Consider the following 13,864-nt stretch of genomic DNA (forward strand, 5'->3'; position numbering starts at 1 on the left):
CAGCTGGGAAGGAGGGGAGCCAGGATTCATGGCCAAGTTCACCCATTTCCAAAGCCTGAACTCTTAACCCAATTTGATGAAACTATGGTCTCTCTGGGAGCACAGAACATTTCCAAGTCTGCTTGCTTTTCCTGAACTGTCACGTTCCTGGCCTCCCCCAGCCCCCACATCTCTTCTTCTGGGTGGCATACCGATAGATTTTTGCCGGAGCATCAACCCAGGTCCTGGAGGCAGGAAAGAAGGACGCTCGTAACTTGGCTGGGCACGGTGGTGGGGATCGAAGCTCGACTTTGGAGCGGCAGTCAGAGGGGGAGAGAGAGAAAAGATAGAGAGAGATCAGTCAGCGCAGAAAGGCTTGTGGCTTCACTATACGGCTGCCCCCATTCCTTCCCTAAGCCCCTGCCGTAAGGGAGAGCAGTGTGAAGACGGTGGAAGGAGGCCGGGCAACGTGGCTCACGCCTGTAATCCCAGCACTTTGGGAGGCTGAGGCAGGAGGATCACCTGAGGTCAGGAGTTCAAGACCAGCCTGGCCAACATGGCAAAACCTCGTCTCTCTACTAAAAATACAAAAATTAGCCAGGCATGGTGGCAGGCGCCTGTAATCCCAGCTACTCGGGAGGCTGAGGCTTGAGAATCACTTGAACCCATGAGGTGGAGAGGTGGAGGCTACAGTGAGCCAAGATCACACCACTGCACTCCAGCCTGGGCGACAGAGCCAGACTCTGTCTCAAAAAAAAAAAAAAAAAAAAAAAAAGAAAAGAAGGCGAAAGGGAATTCTGCGGGAATGAAAAGCCTCAAGTCTGGGCAGGAAGGAGAAAGAAAGGAGAAGAAAGCAGATTTTCCATCGACTCTTGATCTGCTTCCTTCCTCCAGCCACTGCCCACATCCAGGTCCCCACCAGTGTTCTCCGGGATGGAGCAGCCTCTTCCCTCATCTCCCTGCTGCCATCCTTGATCCCCCACCCTGTTCCAGTCTGTTTTCCACACAAGAGTCAGAGGCATCTTTCAAAAAGCATGCTATTGCCCCTGCTTGAAATCCCATGTCAGTTAGGAGGAGATCAGAGGGGACCAAACTCCCAACTCTGGTCTACAAGACCCTCTATGGCAGGCACTGCTGGTGCCCCTGCAGCTGCCCTCCCCCTGGATGCAGCATCCCATCCCTCACCCACTGCTGGGAGGGTCACCTGCCTGCAGCCCTTAAGAATCACCCTCCTTCAGAGTCCTGGACTCGCCCAGTCCGTTATGTGTCCCTGCTTCCTGGAGCAGCCCACAGCCCACGATGGACGGATACGGAGGCCCGAGGCAGCACTAAAGCCGGGGTGCCCAGCCTGACCCCATGGGTTCCCACTCCAGCGTGAACCGTGTCTGCTTGACTTCCTTCCACAACCCCAGCCAGTCTCCCACACTCCCTGAAGGTTCCCCCGTAGCAAACCCTTGGTACAGGAATCCCCACCTCCGGCTCCCGTTCTAGGGAAGCCCACACGAAGACAGGTCCTGCAGGCGGGACCCAGCCCTGCCCCCATTTCCCACTTGCTCCCTTGGTCCACCTCCACCCCCACCTCTTCCTTCTCCTCTGTCAGCCCCAGGTCTACCCTCATTGGAGAACACCTGCGAGCCCTGGTTCTCTCGGCAACAGCTTTCCCTCTTATTGTCACAGTTCCTTTTCAGCGCGAAGTTCTCCTCGGCGAGACCTTCCCCGGCCCCCTACCCAGACTGCACTTCCCTCTGTCCCATTTTCTTCACAGCATCTCTCTTCCCCAGAAACCATCTTGTTTACTTGCTGTCTGTTTCCTCCACTAGCCTAGAAACTCCCTGAAGGCGGGGCTGATGTATCCCAGGCATCGCACCTACAGTGTCTAGGGCCCATGATGCTTTTAGGGGAAGTGTTTTCATTTCTTTTCAAAGTAGAAGTGAAAGAAAAAAAGAAAAGAGAAAATTGTACCCTGGATAATATCGGTCTTTGCAGCAACAAAGTCATAAAATTTAAACTTTTTTTTTTTTTTTTGAGACAGGGCTGGAGTGCAGTGGCGTTAACACGGCTCACTGCAGCCTTGGCCTCCCGGGCCCAAGCGATCCCAACCCCAACCTTCTGAGTAGCTGGGACTATAGGCAGGCACAATCACATCCAGTTAATTTTTAAATTTTTTTGCAGAGGCGAGTTCTTGCTATGTTGCCCAGGCTCATCTCAAATTCCTGGGCTCCAGCGATCCTCCCACTTTGGCCTCCCCAAAAGTTCTCAGATTACAGGCATGAGCCACCGTGTTGGCCTATTTTTTTTTTTTTTAATGCAGAAGGGCAAAAGTGCCTAAGGTTCATGGAAGTCATTATGAAACCTGCCTGAGGGTAGGGTAGTGACTTTATCAGTCTCCTTTCCTACTGAGTCCCCGGTCCCCGCATAGGGCCTGCTGTTCTACAAGCAAGTGTTAGATGAGTAACAGGGAGAATCAGCCAAGGTCAGGCACTTCGGGGCCCTGACTCCCCAGCTTCTGCCAGGTCACCCCATGTGTCTCCCTTCTCCATCTTTGAGACCAGAAGTGCAGAGAAAGGGAGCCCTCTCGGAATGAAGTTCGCACCTTTGGGATGAACCCTTACTTCCTGCACTTCCCACTATACCCCCTCCTGCCTCTTTCCTCCAGCCATTCACAACCATTCCCAGTTCCCTCGCTTCTCACTTCCGAGACTCTGCATGGAGCATCCTTTCCCTGGGCTCTGGGCTCTGCTTGGGAAAGCTCTGTTATCTTAGCCCTCCACCCTGGCCCGGCTACCCGCTTCCTTTAGGCCTGCAGTGCCCCCCTAGAGCAGCCACTAGCCATTCAACTGTACATTTCAGGCCAACGTGGTGGCTCATGCCTGAAATCTCAACATTAGGGAGGATCGCTTGACCCCAGGAATTTGAGACCAGCCTGGGCAGCATAGGGAGACTCTGTCTCTACAAAAATAAAAATTACAAAAATTGCTGGGCACGGTGGCTCATGCCTGTAATCCCAGCACTTCGGGAGGCCAAGGTGGGCAGATCACCTGAGGTCAGGAGTTCGAAACCAGCCTGGCCAACATGGTGAAATTCCACCTCTACTAAAAATACAAAAATTAGCTGGGAGTGGCGGCATGTACCTGTCATCCCAGCTATACAGGAGGCTGAGGCAGGAGAATCACTTGAACCCGGGAGGCGGAGGTTGCAGTGAGCCGAGATTGTGCCACTGCACTCCAGCCTGGGTGATAGAGCAACACTCGGTCTCAAAAAAAAAAAAAAAAAAAAAAAATTAACCAGGCATAGTAGCACATGCCTGTCATCTTAGTTACTTGGGAGGCTGAGGTGGGAGGATCACCTGAGTGCAAGAGTTCAAGGCTTCATTGAGCTATGATTGTGCCACTGCACTCCAGCCTGGATGACAGAGTGAGACTGCGTCATTAAAGAAACAGACCAACCAAAAAGACAAGTGTAAATTTCAATTAATTAAAATTAATTTGTAAAATTCAATTTCTCTGTTGCACTGGCCACATTTGAAGTATTCAACAGTTACCTGTGGCTGGTGGCTACCAAATTGGACAGTATAGATATGGAACATTTCATCATCACAGAGAGCTCTATTGGTTCTAGTCCAGAGTTTCCTGGGGTCTGTATTACATGCCTCTCACTACACTTCCCTTCCTGAATTGGGACTGTCTGTTTCTATGTTTGTCTCATTGATTCATTCATTCCAGAAATATTTATTGAGGACTTCCTTTATGCCAGGGACTGTGACAGATACTGCAGATACGACAAATTAGACAAATGTCCCAGCCCACAGGAAGGGCAAGCAGGCCATAAACAGCATAAATTCGTAAAATATAACATTGGTCAGATGGAGGTAAGAGGGAGGAGAGAGGGAGAATGTAATTTAAAATATGGGCTGGTGCCAGGCGCGGTGGCTCACACCTTTAATCCCAACATTTTGGGAGTTCAAGGTGGGTGGATCATTTGAGGTCAGGAGTTTGAGACCAGCCTGACCAACATGGTGAAACCCCATCTCTACTAAAAATACAAAAAAATTAGCTAGGCGTGGTGGTGCATGCCTACGGTCCCAGGGAGGCTGAGGCAGGAGAATCACTTGAACCTGAAGGCAGAGGTTGCAGTTAGTCAAGATCGTGCCACTGCACTCCAGCCTGGGTGACAGAGCAAGACTTCATCTAAAATAAAATAGAATAAAATAAGGGCTGGCCAGGCACAGTGGCTCCTGTCTGTAATCTCAGCACTCTGGGAGGTGGGAGGATTGCTTGATGCCAGGAGTTCGAGACTAGCCTGGGCAACATAGCAAGACCCTGTCTCACCCCCAATTTTTTTTTTTTAATTAGTGGTGCATGGTGGCATGTGCCTGTTATCCCAGCTACTTGGGAGGCTGAGGTGGGAGGATCCCTTGAGCCCATGAGTTTGAGGCTGCAGTGAGCTATGATCGTGCCACTGCACTCCTGCTTGGGTAACGGAACAAGACCTTGTCTCAAAATAAATAAAATAAGGAGGTCAAGGAAGGCCTCACTGAGAAGGTATTATTTGAGCAAACTCCTGGAGGAGGTGAAGGAGGGGGCATAATGATGTGTAGAGGAACAGTGTTCCAGGCAGGTGGAACAGCAGGTGCAAAGGCCCTGAGGTGAAGGTGAGCCAGGCAGGCTCAGGAGGAATAGGAAGGAGGCCAGGAGCTGAAGGGTAGGAGTTGAGGTTAGACAGGTGATAGAAGGGTGGGAGTGGGTAGGACCTGCAAGTTTCAGGTTTCTTTCAGATTTCGGCTCCAAGGTCTCCTCTCTGGAGAGGCTTCCTCCTGTTACTCTGTCATAACTCCTTTAACTGATGACAGTTTGGAGTCATCATCATTATTTGCTTGCTTGTTTACTGTCTGTCTCCCTAGGCATGCAGCCCACCCCAATACTCTTTCTACTCTATTTCCTTGGTAAGAAAATGCCAATCTTATTTGGCACCTTTTGAGAGACTACACTTCCCAGCTTCCTTTGCAGCTAGGTGTGGCCATATGACTAAGGAAGGCCAACCGGGATGCCCAAGTGGGAGTGTTGTGTGTTACATCTGGGATGTCTTGGAGGTAACTCAAGAGGCAGCAAGGTGCCCTCTTTTGCCCTTCTGCCTTTCTGCCCTTCCTTGTTCCTGCTACCTGGAATGCTGGTGCAATAGCTAGAGCTCCAGCAGCAATTTTGGACTATGAGGCCAGTCTGCAGTTGGAAACATGGCTAAGATGGTGGAGCAGAAATTGAGAAGGATTCTGGGTCTTTAAGACCATGGAGGCTGCTAACCTGCCTGAGACTTCCTATCTCATACTTTTTTTTTTTTTTTTTGAGATGGGAGTCTCACTGTGTCACCCAGGCTGAAGTGCAATGGCACTATCTTGGCTCACTGCAACCTCCACCTCCTGGGTTCAAGTGATTCTCTTGCCTCAGCCTCCTGAGTAGCTGAGACTATAGGTTCCCACCACCACACCCAGCTAATTTTTGTATTTTTAGTAGAGACAGGGGTTCACCATGTTGCCCAGGCTTGTCTTGAACTCCTGACCTCAGGTGACCCACCCACCTTGGCCTCCCAAAGTGCTGGGATTACAGGTGTGAGCCACTCATGCCTGGCCCCCATACTTCTTTAACAAGAGAGAGATAAAAGCATTTTTCTTGGTCAAGCCACCATTATTTGCTTTTTCTCCCTCAGGTGCAGCAGAACCCAATTCTGCTAGTCTCCTCTTTCAAATGTAAATTCTCTAAAGGAAGTTACTTTGTTTGACTGATTCACTCTTATACCTTGAGAGCCCAGCAGCAGGTCCAGGATATAGTAGGTGCTCAATAAATATTTGTAGAAGGAAGAACTCATTGGAAGCAATACAAGACACCCTGACAAGATGTGGCGAGCAACTCCAGGGCAAAACCCCAGCCTGTTCCTCTGAACATCCCCATCAAACAGCACAGGGCCAGCTCCAAGCAGGCTTCAGGAGGTGTCGCCTGAAGGCATCCCTGCTTTGACGGATTTCCTGCCATGCTGCTCTTCTCTAAGCGCTTCTCAGCCTGCTCAATCCTTCTCCACTTTGCTGAATGTTTTTCTGACCCCCTCCCCCACCTCCTTCAGCCACAGACCAATACTCTGCTTGGCTTTCTGTCCCGTCCTGCAGCTGTGTGGTATCAGAGAGCAGAACCTTGCAAAAGATAAAGGCAGTAGAGAAGTGGCAAGTGGAAGGAGACACTCTTGTGTGAGCCATTTTACCTGCTATTTTTCGTATGTGTCCTCACTGGATCCTCACACCTGTGAGTTAGGGTGGATTATACCCATTTGGATGATAATGAAAGAGGCCGTGGATCAGAGAGAAAAGGTCCTTATCCTAGACCAGCCAGCGAGTAAGGAGGAGATTCAAGATGCATCGGAGAAAAGAGGTCAGAGTGGCTCAAAAACCCTGAGATAAAATGGGAGGGGTACGAAGAGCCAGGAGAAGGGGGTGTGACCAGTCAGGAAGCACACGGGGACTGCTGAGGGGCAGGGCTGGAGAGGACAGCAAGAACAGAGTCCAGGCAGGAGAGGACAGCTGGGAGGAGGGGAGGAAGGCAAGGGAAACACCTGCATGGGGCACGGGGGCAGGTGGTGGGGGCCAGAGGGAGAGGCGAGGGTCAGGTGACAGGTGAGGGTGAAGGTGATGAGGCAGGGATCCGAGTGACAGTGGAGGGGTTGATGTGACAGTGGAAGGGTCAGAGTGACAGGGAAGGGACCAGGGTGATGGGGGAGAGGTCAGGATGACAGGGAAGGGTCAGGGGGACAGTGGAGAGGTCAATGTGACAGAGAAGGGGTCAGGTGACAGAGTAGGAGTCAGAGTGATGGGGAAGGGTGAGGGTGACAGGGTGGGGGTCAGGGTGAGAGAAGAGGTAAAAGAGAGACAGTGGAGGAGTCAAAGGGAAAACGGAGGGGTCAGGGTGATGGGGAAAGGTCAGGGTGATGGGGAGGGGTCAGGGTGATGGGGAGGGGTCAAGATGATGGGGAGGGGTCAGGGTGTGGGGAGGGGTCAGGATGATGGGGAGGGGTCAGGGTGTGGGGAGGGGTCAGGGTGATGGGGAGGGGTCAGGGTGTGGGGAGGGGTCAGGGTGTGGGGAGGGGTCAAGATGATGGGGAGGGGTCAGGGTGATGGGGAGGGGTCAGGGTGTGGGGAGGGGTCAGGGTGTGGGGAGGGGTCAGGGTGATGGGGAGGGGTCAGGGTGATGGGGAGGGGTCAGGGTGATGGGGAGGGGTCAAGATGATGGGGAGGGGTCAGGGTGATGGGGAGGGGTCAGGGTGTGGGGAGGGGTCAGGGTGATGGGGAGGGGTCAGGGTTACAAGCATTACAGGTAAGGGGTGAGGGTGATGGGGGGGTGTCAGTGTGACGGGGAGGGGTCAGGGTTACAGGCAAGGGGTCAGGGTGACGGGAGAGGGCTTAGAGTGGCAGGGAACTGGTTAGAGTGAGGGGGAGGGGTGTCCCCGACAGAGGAGGGTGCAGAGTGACAGACGCCTCGTCAGATTTGCAAGCTGACAAAAGACACTTCAGCACCATGTGGAAGAAGAAGGGACAAAAATGGGTTAGCTTGACATAAGAAGGGTCAGGGTGACAGGAGAGATGTCAGACTGACGGAGGAACCATAACAATCTGATGGGGCATCGCACTGACTCCCCAGGGAGCACCTGAACTCCACCAACCAACGGGAGCATTCGCTCCCGCGCAGAAGGGACAGCCAATCAGAGTGCGCAGCCTTGCATGACGTCACTGGCTGCCGGGCAGACTCCCCTTCAGTCCGCCGCCCAAAGGCCCAGTTCTCCGTCACCTCGTGGTCTGGCGCCTCAGTGGCAGCGCATGTCCTGCCGCTGACCAGTGGCTGGGGAACTCCTGCTAAGGAGGCAGCCCTGAGAGGGGATAGGGGAGAGAATGGACGGGGAGACAACTGAAGAGACAGAGATGGGGGGACAGAGATAGACAGAGACAGAGAGAGGGAGACAAGGAGACACAGAGACAGACGTAGAGAGACAGAAAAAGAGAGACAGAGATAGAGAGACAGAGACAGACAGACAAAGGCAAAGATGGGGAGAGAGACAGAGATGGAGAGACAGAGACAGAGACAAAGGCAGAGATAGGGAGACAGAGATAGAGAGACAGAGAGACAAAGGCAGAGATGGGGAGATAGAGATGGAGAGACAGAGAGACAATGGCAGAGATGAGGAGACAGAGATAGAGAGACAAGGAGAGAGCTAGGGAGACAAGGAGACACAGAGACAGAGATGGAGAGACAGAGACAAAGAGACAAAGACAGATGGGGGAGAGAGGGAGGTGGGGAAACAGGGAGGGATGGGAAGAGAAAGATAGGGAGAGTGAGAGAGGCGAAGAGCGACAGACAGAGATGGGGCCTAGAAGGGGGAGAGACAAGGACTGAGAGATGAGAGGGGAAATGAGAGGGCGATGGGAAGCATGGGAAGCAGGAAGAGCCCAGAGAGGAAGGAGGGAGGGCAGCTCTGACTCAGAGAGGGCCTGCGCAGCCCCAGGAGGGAACCCCAGAAGTGGGGAGTGCAACTGAGAGGGAGCAATGACGTCTCAGACTGAGAGATGAGGGGGCACGAGGGAGCCCTCGGGCATCAGTGGCGGGTGACAAAGACAGTACCAGAGAAAGCCAAAGCCATACCGAGGGGCGGATGGACAGCAGAGCCCTAGGAGGAGACAGCCCAAGAGGTGCCCTGACCTAGGGTGGATCTGCTGGGCTCCGCGCCCCTGCTGTCCCTACCTCCTCTAGGTTATATGCAAAAGTGCATCTTTGGAGAGGGTTGAAATCTCCCAGTTTCCAAGTCCTTAGATAGTGGCATCTTTTTTTTTTTTTCCCCGAGACAGAATCGCACCCTGTCACCCAGGCTGGAGTGCAGTGGCGCGATCTTGGCTCACTGCAACCTCTGCCTCCCAGGTTCAAGCGATTCTCCTGTCCCATGCTCCCGAGTAGCTGGAATAACAGGCGTGCGCCACCACACCCAGCAAATTTTTGTAGTTTTAGTAGCGACGGGGTTTCACCTTGTTGGCCAGGCTGGTCTCAAACTCCTGACCTCAGGTGATCCACCCGCCTTGGCCTCCCAAAGTGCTGGGATTACAGGCGTGAGCCACCACGCCTGGCTGATAGTGGCGTCTTATACAATGCTTTGCTCTTGTTCACTTTTGTGCAGACCTGATCCAAGAAGCCTCGGGGGGTACTGCACCCCCCACCCCACTGCATCTAGACCAGAGGGAAGATGCAGGGTGAAGAGGGGAGAGGAGCCTAAATGAATGGGAAATCGAGACACCGAGAACAAGACCAGACGTCGAGAGAGGCCACCAAGATGCAGAAACCTCATGAAGGGGCATCTGTATTGACTCAGAGAGCGGGAAAGATAAAGATGGCAGGTGGGAAGGAGCAGAGAAGGCGGCAGAGAGAGCCTCCGACATGAGAGGGGGACCTGGAGAAGGCCCAGGGACAGATCCAAGAGGTGAGAGAAGAAAAGGCGAGGGGGATGTACAGGGCAAATGACTATGGGTCCTCTGGACACAGAGGGAAAGGAGGTCTCCCAGAACTCAGGTGAGTGCTTGTGAGTTTCATTTCTAGGAGGCAGGGGCAGGTGGGCAGCTGGTTTTATTACTGGCTGGTGTCTGGGCTCCTCTGGGGGTGGAGGTCTTTGGAGCTCAGAGGGTGAGTTCCCTGAGGGTTAGGCTCTTGACTGTCCTGTAACTGGGTTCGTGCAGGGTAGACCTAGAACTGTGGCTGCCTGGCACTTTACAGGAGCTCTGCGCATTTGTTGAATTAATGAAAACAGGACTTGCTCTAATTAGTTTATCAGAGATTTACACTCAGTCTGATACGCTATTGTGGGGTCTCTGGTGTTGCGGGGTCTCTGGAGGCATACACAGAGATCACTGGTGAGCCATGGTGGACTTTCTAGTTTATTTTATTTCAGTGAATTAATTTATGTATTTATTGAGACAGGTCTCATTCTGTTGCCCAGGCTGGAGCTCAGTGGCGCAAGCATGGCTCACTGCAGCTTTGACCTCCCTTGCTCGAGTGATCCTCCCACCTCGGCACACACCATGACTGGCTAATTTTTAAATATTTTGTAGAGACAGGGTCTCACTATGTTGCCCAGGCTGGTCTCGAACTCCTGGCCTCAAGTGATCCTCCTGCCTTGGCCTCCCAAAGTGTTGGGATTACAGGTGTGAACCACTGTACCTGGCCTATTTTCTTTTCCTTTTTTCTATTTTTTTTTTAGACGGAGTCTCGCTCTACTGCCAGGCTGGAGTGCAGTGGCATGATCTCGGCTCACTGTAACCTCCATCTCCTGGGTTCAAGTGATTCTCTTGCCTCAGCCTCCCAAGTAGCTGGGACCACAGGTGCACACCACCACGCCCAGCTAATTTTTGTATTTTTAGTAGAGACGGGGTTTCACTATGTTTGCCAGGATGGTCTTGATCTGTTGCCCTTGTGATCTGCCTGCCTTGGCCTCCCAAAGTGCTGGGATTATAGGTGTGTGCCACTGCGCCCGGCCCAGCCTGGCCTGTTTTCTATCCTGAGGGGTTTACCTTCTGTTGGGAGTTTGCTGTGTTACAGTTAACCTCATGGAACCCTCATAAGAACTGGGCAAGTTTCACTTTAGCCCCATTTTAAAGAACAGAAAACTGAGATGCAGAGAAATTAAGTAACATGGTCCAAGGTGGCAAATTAAGTTAGAGGAAGTCAGGATTTGCATCCCCATTTGTCTGTTAATATAGAGTTTCTGGGGGATCAGGAACAAACAGAAACACCTGGGGTATGGTTAGAGACCCAGAGAGGGAAATTCAGAGGGAGGAGAGTGTAAAATACAGACTGGGGGGAGGCATGAAGAAATGGGATTAGTGGGAGTACATTCCAGACTTCCAATAAATACTGAATAATTTAGTGAGTGAATATGGATGGTAGCATCCTGAATCTAAGTCCACTTAGGATAATCCTGGGGCTGAAAATCTTTTTAATCTTTTTCGTTTGTTTGTTTTTTAGAGACAGGGTGGTCTCTCTCTGTTGCCCAGGTGGGAGTGCAGTGGCACAATCGTGGCTTACTGCAGCCTCAACCTCGGAGGCTCAGGTGATCCTCCCTCTTCAGCCCCCAGAGTAGCTAGGACTACAGGTGCATGCCACCACATCTGCCCAACTAATTTTTTGTATTTTTAGTAGAGATGGGATTTTTGCCATGTTGCCCACTCTGGTCTCGAACTACTAAGCTCCAGGGATCAGCCAGCCTCAGCCTTCCAAAGTGCTGGGATTATAGGTGTGAGCCCCTGCGCCCGGCCCTGAAAATCTTTTAACCTTAGAATGATACAGGGCAGTGGTTCTCAATGAGAGGTAGTTTTGCCCCCCAGAGGACGTTGGGCAGTATTTGCTGCTGGCATCCGGATGGTAGAGGCCAGGGGTGCTGCTGAAATCCTACAATGCACAGGACAGGCTTCCACAACAAAGAATTACGCAGCTCCAAATACAGGCAATTGTGGCTATATGCAGTAGTTGTGTTATATGGGGTTGCCACACATTTCCCTCAACCAATCAATACATAACCTTGTTTTATGCATGTTTCTGTTGAAGGATGCCTTATTTAATATACATTGTTGATTCATTCACATCCAACTCCTGGCCACCAGTGCTCTAACTCATGCCTGAATGAAGCTTCTCTAACATACGTATTTTCTCCATAAGGCACATCACGGCCTTCTCGCACTTAGGAACGCTAGACAGCTCTTCAGCACCATGCTTGGGGGACCTTTTAAACGCTGATATCACCACTAAAAGGCCCAAAGATGCAAAGCACGTGGCACTAAACAGACCGAGAAAAGACACTCGTTCACAGTATAAGAGCCGAAATGAGAAGGCACCCTCGTTCAGCCTCGTCTGGGAACCCACACATAGGGCTACTCAAGATTTTCTCTGCTTTGCGCCTGTCCAAGAATAACCACAAAAGCCCTTCGCGTATTGATTCTGGGCTTCTAATAAATTTCAGCGAGTAGGCAAATTCGCAGACACAGAATCTGGGAATCATGAGGGCCAACTGTGTCAACAGCGCAGATGTTAGAAACTATGACGGACAGGAAGAGGTCTTGGACTTTGGTTCTGTCTTGATGAGAGACACACTTGATGAAAGGTCTCAGGCAAGTGAATGCAAATCTCTAAGACTGTTTCATCTTCTGTAAAATGGGAATGTGCATGCTCTGTCTTTCTTTCTGTTTCTGTACCGCCCTTTCCTTCTTAAAGCTGGTTGTGAAGAAGTTTGTTGAGGAATTATGAGAAGTTTGCTGCAGGGCAGTTGAGGATAGAAGAAGATCACAGGAGGAGGAAACAGGGTCAAAAAAGGTAAGAGCCCAGGGGAGGTAGATTTGGACTCCATATAAGGAAGAAGGTTTTTTTTTTTTTGAGACAGAGTTTCGCTTTTGTCGCCCAGGCTGGAGTGCAATGGTGCGATCTCGGCTTACTGCAACCCCCGCCTCGCGGGTTCAAGCGATTCTCTCGCCTCAGCCTCCTGAGTAGCTGGGATTACAGGCACATGCCACCACATCCGGCCAATTTTTGTATTTTTAGTAGAGATGGGGTTTCTCCACGTTGGTCAGGCTGGTCTCGAACTCCTGACCTCAGGTGATCAGCCCACTTCAGCCTCCCAAAGTGCTAGGATTACAGGCGTGAGCCACCAAGCCCAGCCTCCTACTCTTGATTTTTATAAAAGTACGAGCCCCTCCAGAGCATGAGGGATTGTGGATAGACTTCAGGGGCCTGTGCACTTGTACAGGAAAAAAAATCCTATGTCTTCATTTTCATCATCCTCCAACAAAAACTCAACCTTTCCTCAATTAAATATGTAAGCAGCAAACCATGCTAGTTTCAGCAAGACCCATGCCTGTATCCCCAGTAGGAATCACAGATATCTCCATATCCCATCACAGTGGTGCAGATTTCCCAAAATAGTGTTTATGCGCCTCGTGATTTTGAAATTAGAGTTGTTAAAATCCACCGCCAATGTCTAACATGTTGACAAAAAAAGATGATATTATGATATCACAAATTTTGCTTTTGAAAAATATTTTGAGAAACTACATTTTAGTGTAACTGGCCTCTTTTGTTATTTCATGTTATGCATTTATAAGCATTATTCTGAGAAGGACCACGGCAGCCTGCCAAAGAGATCCATGACCCCCTAAAAGCCAAAGGACCCAGTTTTAGAGTAAATGGACCCCTGACCACTACGTGGTGGATGCGGCCAGAGGATGGGGACTGGGCAGAGAAGAAGGAAGCGGGAAGGGAGGAGCAAGGCAGAGCGTGGCCTCTGGAGGAGACAGTTGGAGGGTAAGGGGTGGCACTGGCAAGCCTAGTGGGGGATGTGTTGGAGGGAAGGCACACAGCCCAGTGGAGTAGGGGCAACATCCAGGAAGGGAGCAGCAGGCCCCTACCAGGATAGCCAGGGCTGTGGCAGGACCATGGGTTCAGAGGGCTGCCTGCCTGGGTTAAAATCCCCCCTCCTTCCTTGAGCCTCAGTTTCCCCCTCTGTAAATGGGCTAACAACCTCGTGTACCTCCCAGGATGAATCTAAGGAATGAATGAGATAATCCATATAAAATTTGATGTCTGGCTGGTGGCTCACGCCTGTAATCCCGGCACTTTGGAGGGCTGAGGCGGGCAGATCACTTGAGGCCAGGAGTTTGAGACCAGCCTGGCCATGATGGCAAAACCCTGTCTCTATTAAAAATACAAAAATTAGCCAGGCATGGTGGCACACACCTGTAATCCCAGCTACTCAGGAGGCTGAGGCAGGAGAATCGCTTGAACCCGGGGGGCAGAGGTTGCAGTGAGCCAAGCTTGCCCCACTGCAC

At 51.4% G+C, this 13,864-nt stretch overlaps 1 protein-coding gene across 4 annotated transcripts in view; it reads right to left on the bottom strand.

Moving 5' to 3' along the window:
* SHANK1 (SH3 and multiple ankyrin repeat domains 1) overlaps positions 1-13,864 on the bottom strand; it is a 60,548-nt gene that overhangs the window by 12,572 nt on the left and 34,112 nt on the right. For all 4 annotated transcript variants that reach the window (XM_011527014.3, NM_016148.5, XM_011527013.3 and 1 more), the window contains one exon: positions 192-288. In XM_011527014.3, coding sequence (XP_011525316.1) covers positions 192-288 — 97 coding nt within the window. The remainder of the gene's footprint in view (positions 1-191; positions 289-13,864) is intronic.

The sequence above is a fragment of the Homo sapiens genome, chromosome 19, assembly GCF_000001405.40.
Source record: "Homo sapiens chromosome 19, GRCh38.p14 Primary Assembly".
In the NCBI taxonomy this organism is placed as follows: Eukaryota; Metazoa; Chordata; class Mammalia; order Primates; family Hominidae; genus Homo; species Homo sapiens.